This window comes from Homo sapiens, chromosome 2, assembly GCF_000001405.40.
Source record: "Homo sapiens chromosome 2, GRCh38.p14 Primary Assembly".
Taxonomy (NCBI): Eukaryota; Metazoa; Chordata; class Mammalia; order Primates; family Hominidae; genus Homo; species Homo sapiens.
This window is the reverse complement of record NC_000002.12, coordinates 98,151,471-98,167,879: the sequence shown is the minus strand read 5'-3', so window position 1 is coordinate 98,167,879 and position 16,409 is coordinate 98,151,471. Positions and strand designations below refer to the sequence as shown.

The 16,409-nt window shown below is 47.1% G+C and overlaps 1 protein-coding gene across 19 annotated transcripts in view, besides 1 other annotated feature; it reads right to left on the bottom strand.

Annotated features, from left to right (window-relative positions):
* Positions 1-16,409, bottom strand: part of VWA3B (von Willebrand factor A domain containing 3B) — a 243,450-nt gene that overhangs the window by 162,737 nt on the left and 64,304 nt on the right. For 17 of the 19 annotated variants that reach the window (XR_922885.4, NR_144296.2, XR_922884.2 and 14 more), the window contains one exon: positions 4,904-5,029. The exons of 1 other annotated variant lie outside the window; for it this stretch is intronic. Coding sequence is in view for 13 of the 18 variants with exons in the window: in NM_144992.5 (NP_659429.4) it covers positions 4,904-5,029 (126 nt within the window). In the remaining 5 variants the exon portion in view is untranslated. Of the gene's footprint in view, positions 1-4,903; positions 5,030-12,586; positions 12,725-16,409 lie in introns of those variants that run through there. One more of the 19 variants, XM_017003562.2, reaches the window with a different exon arrangement.
* Positions 4,354-4,900: an enhancer, noted in NCBI's record as "H3K4me1 hESC enhancer chr2:98779443-98779989 (GRCh37/hg19 assembly coordinates)". NCBI's record gives its function as "activates a minimal SCP1, AML or CMV promoter by ChIP-STARR-seq in naive H9 embryonic stem cells {active_cell/tissue: H9 hESC(naive)}" and the evidence as "EXISTENCE:reporter gene assay evidence [ECO:0000049][PMID:30033119]".

Genomic DNA, 16,409 nt, shown 5'->3' with positions numbered 1-16,409 from the left:
CTGAGGCAAGACCTTTCCAAGTAGTCTACCCAGGGACCCATGGATTCTAAAGCTTTCAGGCTGATGAAAACAGGCACTGTTCTTGGTCCTGTGTGAATTCCAAGCCCCGTTTCTTCTAATTCTTTCCAATGGCCCTTTCCCCAGACTCAGATAACCTTCTCACAGGCATGAGCGGATCAGTATTCAAATGAATTCTTGAGGGGGACCCTTTGCAGATGTCTGGACTTCTCTCTCTGTGCATCTGTCTCCTCTCTGGTACTTTGTCCTGTGAATTGTAGCTGCCTTGGTCCCTCCAGACCCTCAGCTCAGTCTCCCAAACTCAGGATGTTTTCTGGGCTCCACCTACGTTCCTCCTCTGTGCGCCAGGGCCTGGAAACTCTCTCAAGGCAGTAAGCGAGGGAAAGCTAGAGCTCACCTTTCTTTGGCCCTGTATGTCAGAAATCACTGGCCTTCATTCTTAGTGTTCAGCATCCTACAAACCATTGATTCATACATTTTTGTCAGTTTTTTTTTTCCAGGGAACTCTCACGTCCTGCTCTTGGTAATTAAAAGAGGTTAAAAAAAAACTATCAGTGGCCTCACCTTCTTCTCACCTTCTTTTCATCCCAGGCACCAGACTCATGAGACATTTCTCCCAGAAACTGCCCTCCTGGTACTATGGACCTGTATGTGCCAGGTGACCTCGAACCAGTGTGCGGAATGGCAGCTTGCTAGATCTCCTCCAATCCGCCCCTTCCCTGTCCCGCTGGCCACCATCTCTCCTGGGGTCTGCAGGCCCTGAGCAGCCAGCTTAGGGGAACAGCTGCTGCCTTCCTAGGAGGCCTTCCAAGCCAGTCTTGAACTGACCCAGCCTTTGCCTCAGTAACTCTGGGCTGCGGTGGGAATGAGAGCAGGTCGGACACGTGGTATAGAGGGCCAGATTGAAGCTACGAAAGCTGAGATGGCTAGCCAGTGATGAAAGGTCCCAGCCAAACTTTCCTTTTTCAATAGAGATGGTACATTCAAAGAATTTTTTGAAAATTTCTGCATAGAGTTATTTTGGGTTTTAGTTTGAGTGTGTGTGTGTGTGTGTGTGTGTGTATTAGATTAAAACAAAGGGAACTGATACATCATTGCCCAGTATCTGAGGCTTATAACTCATCTGTTTCCTTTAGGAATAACATCCAAGACCTTCTGTTAACTCTTAAGACTAACCACACCAAACTTAAATACGCCTTGTATTAGTCAGCTTGGGCTGCCATCACAAAACACCAGAGGCTGGGGGGCTTAAAGGACAGACATTTATTTTCTCTCTGAGGTTGGAAGTCCAGGATGAAGGTGCCAGCAACGCTGGTTTCTGATGAGGCTGTTCTTCCCGGCTAGGAGACGGCCACCTTCTCTCTGTGCTGCACACGACCTTTCCTCCATGTGCTTCTGGGGAGAGGGCTCGCAGGTGTCTCTCCCTATTCTTATAAAGACACCAATCCTATCAGATTAGGGCCCTCCTTTTATGACCTCATTTAACCTTAATTACCATTTTGTTGTTTGTTTGTTTGTTTGTTTTGAGACAGAGTCTCGCTCTGTTGCCCAGACCGGAGTGCAATGGGGCAATCTCTGCTCACTGCCACCTCCACCTCCTGGGTTCAAGTGATTCTGGTGTCTCAGCCTCCTGAGTGGCTGGGATTAAAGGCATGCGCCACCACACCTGGCTAATTTTTGTATTTTTGGTAGAGATGGGGTTTTGCCATGTTGACCAGGCTGGTCTCGAACTGCCGACCTCAGGTGATCCACCCTCCTTGGCCTCCCAAAGTGCTGGGATTACAGGCGTGAGCCACCATACCTGGTCCCTTAATTACCTTTTTAAAGACCCTGTCTCCAAATACAGTCTCATGATGGGGGCTTCATTGTATGAACTGGGGGGGCACAATTCAGGCCACACACTCCCCGAAACAAATGCCTTAGCAGCAGGCTCCCCATTCTCTTTGCCGGGCGGAGGTGCTGGGTTTGGCCTGGGTCCCCTGCTTGGTGTTCATTTTGTTCATCTGCAGGATGACAGGGGACCATCTGGGTTTTCGAGTGGGTGTCACTACATGTGAGCAGCTCCTCCAGACAAGCCTATTAGGTCCCTCTCAGGAACACCCAGGGAGCCAACCCTGGCAATGCAACCACAGCAACCAGTGCCCTAAGCCCAGGTCAGGACACCCAGTCACAGGAAAAAGCCACAGTCACCAGGAATTTATCAAGTCACACAGCAGGCTTGCCCATGCCTCAACCTCTCTCTCCCTCTACACAAGTCCCCATCCCCATTTCTCCTCTAACTGCATCCCTTTCCCAGCCGGCCTGACCTCCCTGCCCTCTGCCCTCTGCACCTCTGTAACCCAGGAGGCACTGCAGCCTGGCAGTGGTTCCAAAATTAGCTGCACACTAGGATCACCCGGGGAGCTTTCAAAAGTCCCAATGTCATCCCATAGGGATTAAATCAGGATGATTTAATCAGACATCCTGATTACATGTCCGGTGGGTGGGAAGCAGATATCAGTATTTTTACTGGTGGACTAGGTTTTGAATCTAGGCTTCATCATCTCATTAGCTGTGTAGCCTTGGGCAAGTTACTGAAGCCAAAACGGAGATAATACTAGCAGTAGCACCTGTCTCTTAAGATTGTAGCAAATATGAAATGAGCTAACGCTCATAAGGAGCCTTAAACAGTGCCTGATGTGTAAGGTATGTGCGTCCACCAGGTGTGCCCCAAAGGAAACCAGCACCTTACAGAGGAAAGGCCATGCAGGAGAATCCGTGTACCAACTCCCCTAATTGTGAAAGGGCAAAGAATGCGCTGACATCAAGTCCCTGCTTGGTGTGGAGCATGCATCATTGTATTTTGTCTGTACAGTGGTTCCTCAGCATCAAGATTATGATAGTCGTTGTGCAGAAGAATAAGGCTAAAAGAGACAAACTCAGGTGGGTCTAGTGATGGAGCTGGGATTTATAACCAGGTCTTTCTCACCCCCAAACTCATGTCCATTGTTATGAAAAATGCTTTGGTTTATAAGAAAAAAAGGGAGAAAATATTTTGTGTAGTCTCAATGTCTTTCACTAGTAAAAATGCAGTGAGGTTGTTTGTATGGTGCAGTTGTGGGGCTGGAACCCATCAAACACCAAGAAGTGCTTTCATTTACTCAGAATAGGGTAGGTGCTAATTAAATCATGGAAACCAACATCAAGATGAGTACAGCCTCACTGCTAATATTTTTTTGTAAAAGTTTAGGCAGGAAAGTTGCTGTTCTGCATTTTGGGTTCAAAATCAGACTACGTTTGCTAGCTATGTGACCATGGCCAATGACTTAATCGCTCTGTAATTCAGTTTCCTCACCTGTCAGTTGGAGATAATAAGAAACTCCCTCATAGAGTTATGAGGCTTAAATGAGCTAAATATAGGCCTACCCCTCAGGGCAGCACCTGACACATAGTATGTGCCCATTCAGTGGTCATATTGCTGTTACTACCATTTAGGGAATGCAAATCAGTCTTCCAAACTCCAAAGTTTCAAGTGGCTATTCCAAATTAGATAGAAGAGTGTTAGGTGAATATCAGAAATGCAACTGGATTTTAATAATTTCTTTTTAATATTAATAACTCAAACCCCCATTCACACTACTCCTTCCAAGTAAACATTCCACACTTTTTCCCCAGCCTGTGTCCCCTTCTGCCGCAAGGTCCTGGACCCTGCTCAAAGAAAACTGATTTAGGCCTTCCTGTAGGCATCTGAGAGCAAGTCAGATGGTTGCCTGCACAGACACAGACAGCGTGGATGGGATTTTGTCTGCAGGCAAGGGTCAAGGCTGGCCGAGCCGATCACTGAGCTCTCCTGCTCCTCCTCCCTGGAAGAGCACCGGCAACTCGACAGTCTCCCCTTGCCCAGCCTTCAGCCAGGCTCCTCTGAATGCTCTTCTCAGCGAGGCCTCAACCTTTGCACTTCTATGCTCATCTCTGCATCGCCTGATTTTAGCAAAAAGCCTAAGTCAGTGTAGCCAGAATGCCCCACCCTCAGTATCTGATCGCTTTGCTATCTGATCCACATCCTCGTTCCCACCGTCCCCCAGGCGACATCTGATCACACTGGCCTCTCTCCTGAAAGAATCCTGTCAAGTTGGTTTAGCGAGAAGCCCCCCTGCCCTTAACATCTCCTCTTAATAATTTTCCATCCACTGGCGTCCCCCTGACCTTGGCTATGAATCCCCACTTGTCCATGTTGTACTCAGAATTGAGCCCAGTTTTATACAGAGGTCTGGTTTTCCTTAGTATACAAGAGTTTGTCAAGAATCTGTTTTGTTATTGTTATTGTTGTTGTTGTTGTTGTTTTTGAGACAGAGTCTCTCTCCATTGCTAGGCTGGAGTGCAGTGGCACGATCTCGGCTCACTGTGATCTCTGCCTCCCGGGTTCAAGCCATTCTCCTGCCTCAGCCTCCTGAGTAGCTGGGATTACAGGCACGGGCCACCACACCCAGCTAATTTTTGTATTTTCAGTAGAGACGGGGTTTCACCATGTTGGCCAGGATGGTCTCGATCTCCTGACCTCGTGATCCACCCGCCTCGGCCTCCCAAAGTGCTGGGGTAACAGGTGTGAGCCACCGCGCCCGGCCCAAGCATCTGTTTTTACCACTTTACTGTCCAGCTCTGGGTACTGACAATCTCCACATATGCACACATGTGAGCACGTGGGCACACACACACACACATGTCCATGCATGTGTGTTCAGCCCCCTCCCCACCCCTCACCCCACACAGCTCTGGCTGCTCTCCTCAGCAGCCCCTCGCAGCTGGGCTCTGGAGCTTCTCTGGTCAGGAACATGGAAGCAGCCCCTGGTCCCCAGCTAGTAACATTTATGAATCTTTTACACCAGTGACCAGAAATAGCACCAACCGCAGTCCACAGTGGCCACGTCGGGCTTGGGAGGCTCGGCCACCAGCCTCTGGATCTGGGCCAGCGTGCTGCAGGCTTCCTCCATCTCTTGCCAAACGAGAAACACGTCCTCTCTGACTCCAGCTCCTAAAAGGGGAGACACAGCATGAGCGGCCGGCTGAGACAGGCCCAGGAATGTGGCAGCCCGCCTAGCAGGCCTGACGCATTGCAGCCAAGTTTCTGGAACATTTCTGAACATCAAATTCCGCTTCCCCCACTAATCTCTTTCTGAGAATCAGAACTGAAATCCCCAAGGAAGTGATATCATCTCAAGAAATCATAAATGCAGACTTTAGGATACAATAAATCCTTCTAAAGTAAATGTTTGTAGCAGCCAGAATATTTAAAATGAATTATTGATAATACCCAAATAAGATAGGAATAAAAACATTCAAAAGCACCTCACACAAGCCAGGGTCACCGCTGCGAGGAGGGGAAATGCAATGGAATGTTGTGAAAGCAACAACCCCTAATCCTTTCGCCATGTAGCCAAGGTGTCCTGCTTCTTTGAAACCACAGGTATAATATTTCCCCCAATGTAATAGTGATTGCCTGGTCTCCTTTTCTGGACCTCTACTGTCTCAGTTAAGGGATAGGTTTGACTCTATAACACTTTTTTAAAATGACATGGCACCATTAATTTAGATATTTATGTCTTTCAATCAATCGAAGTTCATGCCAAGGAGAGTGGTTTAGGGCTGGGATACAGGCTCTGCCTTCATCGAGATCCAGGCTCTAACAGATCAGCAGTTTCTAGATGTTGGGGCGGGTGGGCCGGGGGGAAATGGATGTGCACTCTGTGGTGTGCCATGCAGAGGTGCACGGTGAGAGGTCCTGTCCTGCTACCTTAACTGTATCAAAGTCAAGGTCCCAGCCATGCTGTGGTACTATGTTACTATGGGGGAAAGTGGGTAAAGAATAGATGGGCAGGCTGGGCACGGTGGCATACGCCTGTAATCCTGTAAAACTTTGGGAGGCCGAGGCGGGCAGATCAATGGAGGTCAGGAGTTCGAGACCAGGCTGGCCAACATGGTGAAACCCCGTCTCTACTAAAAATACAAAAATTAGCTGAGCGTGGTGGCCCGTGCCTGTAATCCCAGCTACTCAGGAGGCTGAGACAGGAGAATCACTTGAACTGGGGAGGCGGAGGCTGCAGTGAGCTGAGATCACACCACTGCACTCCAGCTCAGGAGACAGAGTGAGACTCCAGCCCAGGAGACAGAATGAGACTCCATCTTGAAATAAATAAATAAATAGATAAATAGATAAATAATAGATGGGCATCTCCCTGTATCACTTATTACCACTGCCTGTGAATCTATAATTATCTCAAAATAAAAAGGTTAATTTTTAAAATCTTGAAAACAGATCCACACTCTTTCTATCCTGCTCCTCGGTCATCTCAGCACATCCTTCTGTCTTCAGCCACCTTATGATTCAACATGGTGTCCTTAGTGCCAAGCAGCACGTCCTGAGCAGCAGGGCCACTGGGAGGACACAGAAGCACACCCCCTGATGGAGTCAGTTCCTTCGAGGCACCCTGCCCAGAAGGCCCACCCCACAGCTTCATTACTTAGCCACTGCCAGAATGGCATCACGCAGCCCCATCTGGCAGCAAGGGAAATTGAGAAATGCTTTTAGGCTGGGTATACTGCAACCCTAAGTAAAATTGGGGCTACAGCCTAAGGAGCAAGGGAGTGTATCTGGGTGGCAACTGGCAGTCCCTGCCCCTTGGCTGAGACATGTTCTGTCACCAAATACACCGAAAAGCCCCTTCCTCCCACTTCCCAAGTCTGCATGATAATTAACTGATGCCCAATATCCCACAATCACAGATGATGAGAGACCACCCTCCAGTCTACGGGGCACCCCAGGAGACTCATCCACCCGGGGCCAAAGGACTGATCCTAAGCCAACAAGGCAGACTAGGGCAGACCAGAGTTGATGTTTCTGAATTTTAAAATATAGTCAAGAAGGGTAGGGCAGAAAAAAGGGACATCAAAGTTCTAGCCTCTTGAAGTGGGACAAATCAAGTGAGAGAGTATTAATAGCTATGTTCCTAAAGGGGCAAGTGACAAGCCCTGACAGAGACGGACGGCTACCATGGCTCTGTGGCCATCAACAGCCTAGGAAGTGAAATCTGATGTGTCCTGAGCTCCATGTTGAAAATCCAAAAATAACACAGGCTGCTGCCAAATGCGAACCTTAAGCCCACAGGCCCTCTGAACGCTGTAAAATCAAGACAGACTGCCAGCTGCTTGCTTCAGCCTGGAGGTGTTAAGTAGCAGGAGTCTCTTAAAAGTTTCAAATGAGTCAAGGCTTTCCTCTAGACTTGTCAATAATATCTTAAGAGGGAGTACACCACAGGGCAGGGTCAAAGGAGAAAGTTCCGAGGAAACCCAGTCGGCTCTTGGTCATCCAGGGACAGGGAAATGTGTCTCTGGGACAGCAGTGACCGGGACGTGCTCCCTGTGCAGGCAGTATCTAGGATTATCACTACCCCAGTCTAGTGATCGTGATGAAGCAGCTACAGACTGCTATGTCGGTGATCAGAGAGCAACACAAGTCCATCTGATTTGCTTTGCTTAAAAACAAAAGAAAAGAAAACAAAACAAAACAAAAAAACAGTGAAAAAGAAAGCTACAGAACAGTAAAAGCATCATGACAATGCACAGGTTTTATTTCAAGTTATTCCTCACACAGTAAGGAAGCACTGCCAGTTTTATCAAGGTCACTTTTAAGGACTTAGTTGGGATCTCAGATAGCCACAGCCGAGGGACAGAGCCCCATTGGGGATGGAAGACGATGGGGGCACAGGAAACCCCGCTGTTCAGACCTCCGTGAATTTGAAATTCTCCAGGCTACACCAGGGAGGAGATGAAACAGCAGGAAGCTGTATGTATCTTTATGTATCTTTTTTTTTTTTTTTTAATGGATTCTTGCTCTGTCGCCCAGGCTGGAGTGCAGTAGCACGATCTAGGCTCACTGCAACCTCTGCCTCCCAGGTTAAAGCGATTCTTGTGCCTCAGCCTCCCGAATAGCTGGGATCACCACCACACCTGGCTAATTTTTGTATTTTTTTAGTAGAGATGGGGTTTCACCATGTTGGACAGGCTGGTCTTGAACTCCCTGACCTCAGGTGATCCACCCGCCTCAGCCTCCCAAAGTGCTGAGATTACAGGCATGAGCCACCGTGCCCAACCAAAGCTGTATGTATCTTGACTGTCAAGGTGGAAGCCAACTAAGGTCTGCCTGACAACAGAAGCTGGATACGGTTCCTAATGGAGTCATTCAGGAGACCTAGTGGATTCTCCAACCAGAATGCATGCCTGCCCAATCCCCCGCCTTGCATGACTGCTGCCCTCCCAGACACCTGGTAACAATTTGAAGGCCGGGCGCAGTGGCTCACATCTGTAATCTCAGCACTTTGGGAGGCCTAGGCAGGAGGATCACCTGAGGTCTGGTGTTTGAGACCAGCCTGGCTAACATGGTGAAACTCCGTCTCTACTAAAAATACAAAAATGAGCCGGGTGTGGTGGCAGGTGCCTGTAATCCCAGCTACTCAGGAGGCTGAGGCAGGAGAATCTCTTGAACCTGGGAAGCAGAGGTTGCAGAGAGCCATTGCACTCCAGCCTGGGTGACAGAGAAAGACTGCATCTCAAAAACAAACAAAAAAACCAAACCAAAACAAAACAAAAAAACAATTTGCAGGCTCGTGTTAAAATGCTAACATACCTGGGAGCAATGTCACAGTCTGCTGCTGTTTTTCATTAGCACCTAGTATTGACTTCTCAGACTGGCTAGTTTGACAAATAAAATGAGACTCAGGACAGGAAGTTTTGATGTCAAGGAGAAAAGTCCACAGGATACCTGCTGCCAAATGCCATTTCCCTGTCCAATCTTCCACATCTCACCTACAGGATAAAACCCAGTTGCCAGAGTCCAGTTCATTAATACGGTCATTTGGCAAGTATGTGTTGAGCATCTCCTCTGTAGTGGGTGGGTCCTATTGGTGCTGGGGATGCAGTGACCAGGGCCCAGCTCCCTGGGCTGGCATTGAGGTCAGGGTTCAAAGCTCCCATGACACTCCTCTAACACTCTGCACCATGAACCCGGTCAGAGCACTGTCCTCTCAGCCCTGTCCTCTGTATCAGAGGACTGAGCCCTCCGCTGCACCCACCCCGTCCCACCCTTCACTGAAGACATAGTCTTGACTCCACCACCCCCAGGAAACGGTGAGCTGCCTCCTACTCCCCCTTCTCAGTCCCGTGGAATGAACCAGGGCACCACTAGACTCCATCCTCTTGCTGCCAGGACACGCTCGGGCCGCACCATTAGTGAACCTGTCCATGTGTGCATTTCAGTTCCTGGCTGCCTGTCACTCAACCTCCAATTCCCAAGAACACAAAGAACTAGAAGCCTGTGATGGTGACATCATTCTGTGCATGACCTTGAGTCCAGTCTAATTTAAGTCAGCCTTCCATGAACCCAGTGCTTATTTTTAGTAGGCAGCTGCCTACAACACAGCTCAGCACTCAGCAACATGTCCCCAGCCTGCCAGCTGTTGTGGGCTGGGGTCTGCGGCTCTCCTGCAGTGCTCGGGCACTTGCTGTGTGTGTGTGCACCGGCTGACTTTGCCAACTGGATGGTAAATGTCTTAAGCATAGGGACAGTGTCTTTTCTTTCTTTGTATCCTCCACAGCACTCAGCCCAGGTTCTATCTAGTATTTTCTGCAAGAATTTCTGTCCTCCTTTTTTATTTTTCCTTATTACATAGAAACAGTTCTGGAGCACCTAATACATTCATTCCTCATGATTACAAGAAACTCTTCAGAGGGGTGTGCAAGAGACTCAGATCATCTGAGCACATGGCTATGCCCGAGGTATTCCAGACACTGACAATGACATCCCTTAAAACACGAAGTCATTTCCTTCTAGGTTCATGCCACAGTAAGCAAGACTTCCCCCAAGTATCTGAAGTACTATCGTTTCCAGGACAGGAGGAGAAAAGCAATTAGAAAGATAGGCAGGTGCGGTGCTGATCCAAGGTACAGTTCAATGTTGCCCTGGGAGAGGGCAGCCCAGAAACAAAACCACCCTCGGGACCCTTGAGTCCCAGACCATCCCCTCGGTCCTACTGTGGCTCATTGTTTGTGGCCCTGCCCAACCCCAGGACTCTCCGGTGAAGAACTGGTCCCGCCAGGTGGCGAGCTTGCAGTCTGCCTGACCCCCAAACTCCTATTCAGTCATGCAGATTTGAAAGACTTGAATATAACTATGAAAAGGCAGTATTTTCAGGAAAAAGTAGCACATACTTCTATTTTCAGAAAGCGATATAACATTAAAAAATATAATACACTGTGAGGTGCTAAACATTCCCAGAGACCTAAAATTACCATGAGGATCTGGTAAAAGGGCCACATTGCATCCATAAAGGGAATGAAAGCAGGAAAATCAGTGGTTTTTGTCATAATAAAAAAATTCCCAGTTATTTCTATTATATTATATGTTAAGATGTTTTGTTGTTGAGAAGTAATTAAACACCTGCTAGCTTGATCCAGCCCCACTGCCCTAACCACAGAGGCACAGTGTGGGGCTGCTCTCAGTCCCACCCTATGGAAATTAACCATTCATTAATTTAAAGTGAATATAGAGTCATTTCACCATCTGGATAACCATCTAATGTTTTATTGGGGCAATGAATAGATATGTTTCACAAGAGCCATTATGTTATCTTAGAAGCAATTTCAATATGAAGAATGGGCAACTTGAGCTATCGTCTAATACGTGAATGTGGCACCGTCCTCTGGGCCCTCTCCGTCTCTTCTAAATGGCACACTATAAAATGCAAATGTAATGCAGTCTAATTGTCCAAAATTCATTTAAATGGCACACTGTAAAATGCAAATGTAATGCAGTCTAATTGTCCAAAATTCGTTTAGAAAACCCAAAAATGAACCATCACCATTCTCCCCATGGTAAAGGGTAGGTGCTCCCCCAAACTTGGTGAGAAAAATGACCGCAGACTCCAGGATGCTATGGGGCTAGTAGACCATAAAGACCCAGGGAAGGAGACAGAGAAATAATATCTAAGGAACAGATGCAAAGATGCTCATCAACAAAGTTTAGCTGAATAAATCTATTCTACTTAGGATAAGTGATACCATTTATAAGGCATCAACTCAGGGGTAAATGTTTTATTGACATGTAAATTCAGAAGAACTTTATGAGTTTCCTTTAGAGCAAATTTACAAAAAAAAAAAAAAAAAAACTGAGTTTTTTTCAGTTTTTCCATCCAAGAAAAGGCCTGAACCTCTTTCTGTTCTAAGGGATCTATAGCGCATAAAAATAACAAAGACGGTGGCAGGGCTGCTCCTTGATTTCCCATCAACCAACTCTGAACCACAAAGAGCAGGGCTAGGACTATTGTTACTGGGGAGCAACCCCGCACCGGCATCTGCTCAGCCTCTGTCCTCAGCAACGGCCCTATCTCTGTGAGGATGGTTGTGTGCGTGGGCTACTGGGGACTGGATATCACTCACGTAGATGGATCTGCTCCCAGCTCTGCCAGATCATTCAGGAATGAGCAAGTTCTAGGAGGCTAATTATCTTCTTCAAATTCAGAAGACACTGACTTAGGAACTAGGAAGCCAATGCTTTAAAATATCCCCTTCTCAGTAGGACAATCTACTTGGAGAATCATCATTCACTCATTTATTCAACAACACCCCATCATTGCCGATTATATCCGGACACTGGAAATACAAAATGAACAGGAAACCATCCCAGCTCTGAGGAGGCCCTCACTCCAGTGCGGTCTTCCCAGAGTGTGGTCCTCAGAACCTGTGGCAGACGCCCCTGAAATGCTTGTCAGTGCAGATTCCTAGGCCCCACCCCAGACTCATTCTGAGGGTGGAACCCCAGGGAGCTATATTCTTAAAGCGTCCCAGTGATTCTTTGCAACAAAAGTTCACAAAGCTTTAGTCTAAGACGTGAGAGAGGCATGTAAATACATGATCACTCTCCAAAATATTCTTGGAGAAAAAAAAAGTTGGGTGATTTCCAGGAGCAATATTCTCATGCCTGGATGTCCCTGTGTCTGCCCTACAGAAATGCTCACAAGAGAAGGCAGCACTCCCTTTCCCCTGCACAGTGCTGGGAACCCCCGACACCATCTTCCAACACCCATTCCAGGCCACCTGTCATCCATATCTTCATAACATTCTACTGGTTCTAAGTGTCACCTATTTTAGATGTATGTTATAATGGCTGCTTCCTGCTGATAAATGGAGGAGAAAGAGGGGAAATGAAAATTTACCAGGTATCTACTATGTGCCACCGTGCTGGGAACTTAAACACGTTACCACATTGACTTGCAACAATTGCCTGAGTCCAGATCATCATCCCCGTTTTACAGATGAGCACACCGAGGCTCAGAGAAATTTGCCCAAGGCCACACAACTAATAAGTGGTGAGGTCAGGATTCAGCTTCAGGCTGTTAGTCTCCAAAGCTCCCCACCGCCACACTGGAACGCTGGCCTTGGGTATCCTGGAAAATTCTCATGATACAAGATCTACGTGAGCAAACCCATCTGTTGTGTGTTGATCACTTTTCGTTTTCCTTCAAGGGGCTTATAGACTTACCTCTTCCTACGTCTGAAACCACCCAGTTTGTAATTCTGATGCAGGTGGTGATGGTGGGTGAGCTGTGTCCCCAAGGTCAGGGGCTCCAGTGACATTCCAGTGAGCAGTGACACACCTGCTGGCTCCACAGCGATCTGCCTGTATTGGAATCGGCTGTCACCCACGGGGATGGCCCACCAGGTTATCAAGGCTGAGAGCTCTTGCTGGGCTTCCACTATCTGTAAGTTTGTCTTCTTCATTAAACCGTGACTTCCTTGAGGACAGAACTATGTTTATCTGTTTTTGTAACCACTCTCCCTGGTACCTTCCTGACACCTGGTCGAGACTTCCAAATAGGCTATTCCAGAACACAGGTCCCTTGAAGAGAGGGACCTCCTTTTTTCATCATTGTATCCCCAGAGCCCAGCACAGCACCCAACTTTGCAATAGTAAATGTGAAACGGATCTGTCACCCTGGAATCAGAGCCATCACCCTAAAATCAGAAATTCAAATGCAGTCGGAAATCTGCACTGGCTCTTTTCCCTGGCAATTCAATTTCATGTTTAAGAGTTTTGAGGGTTTCTCTCTGCCCCGTGTGTTAGGTGATGCAGGATGCCCGGATTCCCTTGATTATTTCAGTACAATTCTAAGGAGCTGATTGCACTGGCTGACCCAAGCCCTGGGCTGAGCCCACCCCTGCCCAGTGTCAAGAGGGCTACTTTAAACAAGACGTAGTGCAGCCAGGAGCCTAGAATAAAAATAGGTATGCCAGACATAAGCCCAAGACGGGAGTGGGAACAGAGGGGTTCCCTGGGCTTAGGGGCTTACTCTCCTTAGTTGGGAAAACGAGATCTGCAAACACCTCAGATAAATGTGTGCGCTAAGGGAAGAGGGCAAGGTGCAGGTGGACAGTTCTTAAGCTAATTGGGATCCTGCAGTAATGGAGGGAAGGAACAACCCCTAAGTCATAAGGCAGAAGCAAAAATGACATTCTGAGAATCTGGGGCTCCCCGCCGACTGGGAACCTTGTCTTTTATTCCTTTTGAATCTCCTCCTCCTCAACCCTAGTAAGTTTCTAAAGCACACAGGAGATGTTTAATAAATGCTTGTTAACTAACCAGAGGGCTATGTCAGAGCAGTAGAAAGAAATCCTGCTGGGCGCGGTGGCTCACACCTGTAACCCCAGCACTTTGGGAGGCCGAGGCTGGTGGATCACCTGAGGTCAGGAGTTTGAGACCAGCCTGGCCAACATGGTGAAACCCCGTCTCTACTAAAAATACAAAAATTAGCTGGGCGTGGTGACAGGCGCCTGTAATCCCAGCTACTCCGGAGGCTGAGGCAGGAGAATCGCTTGAGCCCTGGAAGCAGAGGTTGCAGTGAGCCGAGATTGCGCCATTGCACTCCAGCCTGGGTGACAGAGCGAGACTGTCTCAAGAGATTTAAAAAAATAGAAAAGAAATCCAAGGCAGCCCACTGTTACAAGGGGCAGGACTTTGAAGGGAATTAAAGTCTCTCAGCCTTGTCAGTTGCAACGTGGCAACAATTTTGGATGCACAGCCGCTCCGGCTCCATCCGCTGAATTCAACTGAATTTTAGCTGGAAGGAAGGAGACTTCTGAAAGAATCTCCCGCTGCCAGTAAGCCATAAACAGGCACCAATCAGTGCTTCTAAATTAAATTGGAGATTAGAAACAAAGAAGCAATGCCAAGCCTAAGTGATGGGCCAATACACTCTAAATACCTAATTAGAGATCACAGGTGTCTGCCAGGAACATGACTTGGTTATTTTTTCCCTTTAAGCATAGCAGCCTGAATGTGTCCTTATGTAAATAAAACTCAGTTTCATAATATTTAGTCTTAGTTCATGCATTTTTCTCCACCAACACAAAAAGCACAGTTTCTGAAGGTAGAATCACCCACATTTTTACAGCTACAATATTTTTGGACTTAAGAATAATACTGGTAGAGTATAGTAGCTGTTCTAAGGACATTTGCCAGGAGTACTGGACACAAACAAAACTACTCTCAGAAAAACATTACCTTTTGCTATTACCTAATATTTATTCTTTTGATTCATTCATTGCAGCCTTTCTCTTGTCCCATAAGCAAAATATGATAGTGAGCAGAGCGAGTGCTATTTGATAGTTCTAAACAATGAGCAGGGGCTGGCCAGAGGGCTGAGCTGAGAGGAGATGAAGCCAGGTGAGTACAGGCTAGAGACGAGAGCAATGATGGACAGATTAGTGACGCCTGTCGTGGGTGGGGTAGGCCTAGAAGTGAAAGGGTGAAAGGTATGCCATGTCGTCCAACGCTGGTCTACCAAACTGTGAGAGGGTTCTGTGTTGTTGGTACTTTGGGTTGTATACATGAAACCACCTTAAAGTTGAAAATATGCACCATTTGCAATGTGCCTCCTCTTCTCCCTTGTGTATAAAGTACAAAGCTCTGGCTTGAAGTGACAGCATAGAGTTCTGACCATGGCTTTCAGCCTGGGTGCTCATCCCACCACCAAGTCTGAGAAGCCTGACATCACACCATCTCAGAAAAGTCCACTGTTCGTTCCACTGCTGAGTCTAGATCCTGAGCTAGATGCATCAATGCCAAAATTGTTTACCTCTTTTAGCCTGATGCCAGGACCTCAGGGAAGATGTTTACTCTAATGTAATTTTACTAATCCATACTTACTATTTCAGTTTAAGTAAATTTTCAAGGATATACAGGAAGAGAACCAAAATAAAAGATGAAGCCTTCTCCAAACCCAAGAGATCAGAAGTCTTTTTCCTTACTGAGAAGGAGTCCCCAAACCACTAAATAGACTCCCTCCTCCTGTGCCGACAGGACCTTCACAACCTAAAAAGCAGCTGCTCAGAAGATTGGGACTGTCTGCCTTAAAGACACAGTCCCTGGAGAGCTTTAACCAGCAGTTAAAGTTCCTTCCCCAAAACAGCATCAAGCCCAGCCCACATGTGGGACAATCCATGCCTCCATGAAAGCTTCTGAGAATTGAAAATTACCATGTTCAATTTATAAATATTATTGCACCATTTACACTTCTTACTGAGCTCAGTCTGACAACAGAGAAGTAGGTGAAATTCACACCCAGAACAGGCCCCATGGCATAACCCTACTTACCACTGAGTCAGATTCTAGTTGTGGTAGAGGAAGGACAGGCACTCCTGATTTCCTCTAGAAAGGCCCCTGCGGCCTACTCCTAGGATCCACCTTGACAGATGGACTCATTTCCCATAAGAACAAAGTTTAACAGTACAGTATTCACTCCCTTGTTCCAAATTACAATTCATCCATCGTTATGCATGCAAATAAACTGGTTACTACCATGACCATTAGAAAAATGCTCTTTGTGACACAGGCTGCCAAATCCTTTTGGATTATTTCACTTTCCAGAACCAATATCTACAACAAAACCCACTTGGAATCCCAAGAAGAAAAAAAGGAAACTACCATTAATGGAATGTCAATTTTGTGCTAGACATTTCCATGTGTGTCGTATGCTTTAATTCTCCCAGAAACTGTACAAAGTAGATGTTATTATTCCGATTTTTATAAATGAGGAAACATAGCTCAGAAAGATTAGGTAACTTGCCCAAGGTCACACAAGTATTTAGTGGCAAAACTCAGATTTGAATCCAGGTCTGATCCCAAAGTTGATTCACCTTCCAGCAAACACTGTCTCCAAGCCAAAAAAGGAATCACAACTGTTCATCAAACGTTCACTTTCCTCCCCACCTCCGTGTGAGTGGAGTAGACCTCCCCACCCATTGCTGTAGGACATGAACATGTGACTGGCTCTGGCCAACTGGATATGACATGAGTGGGGGCCTTA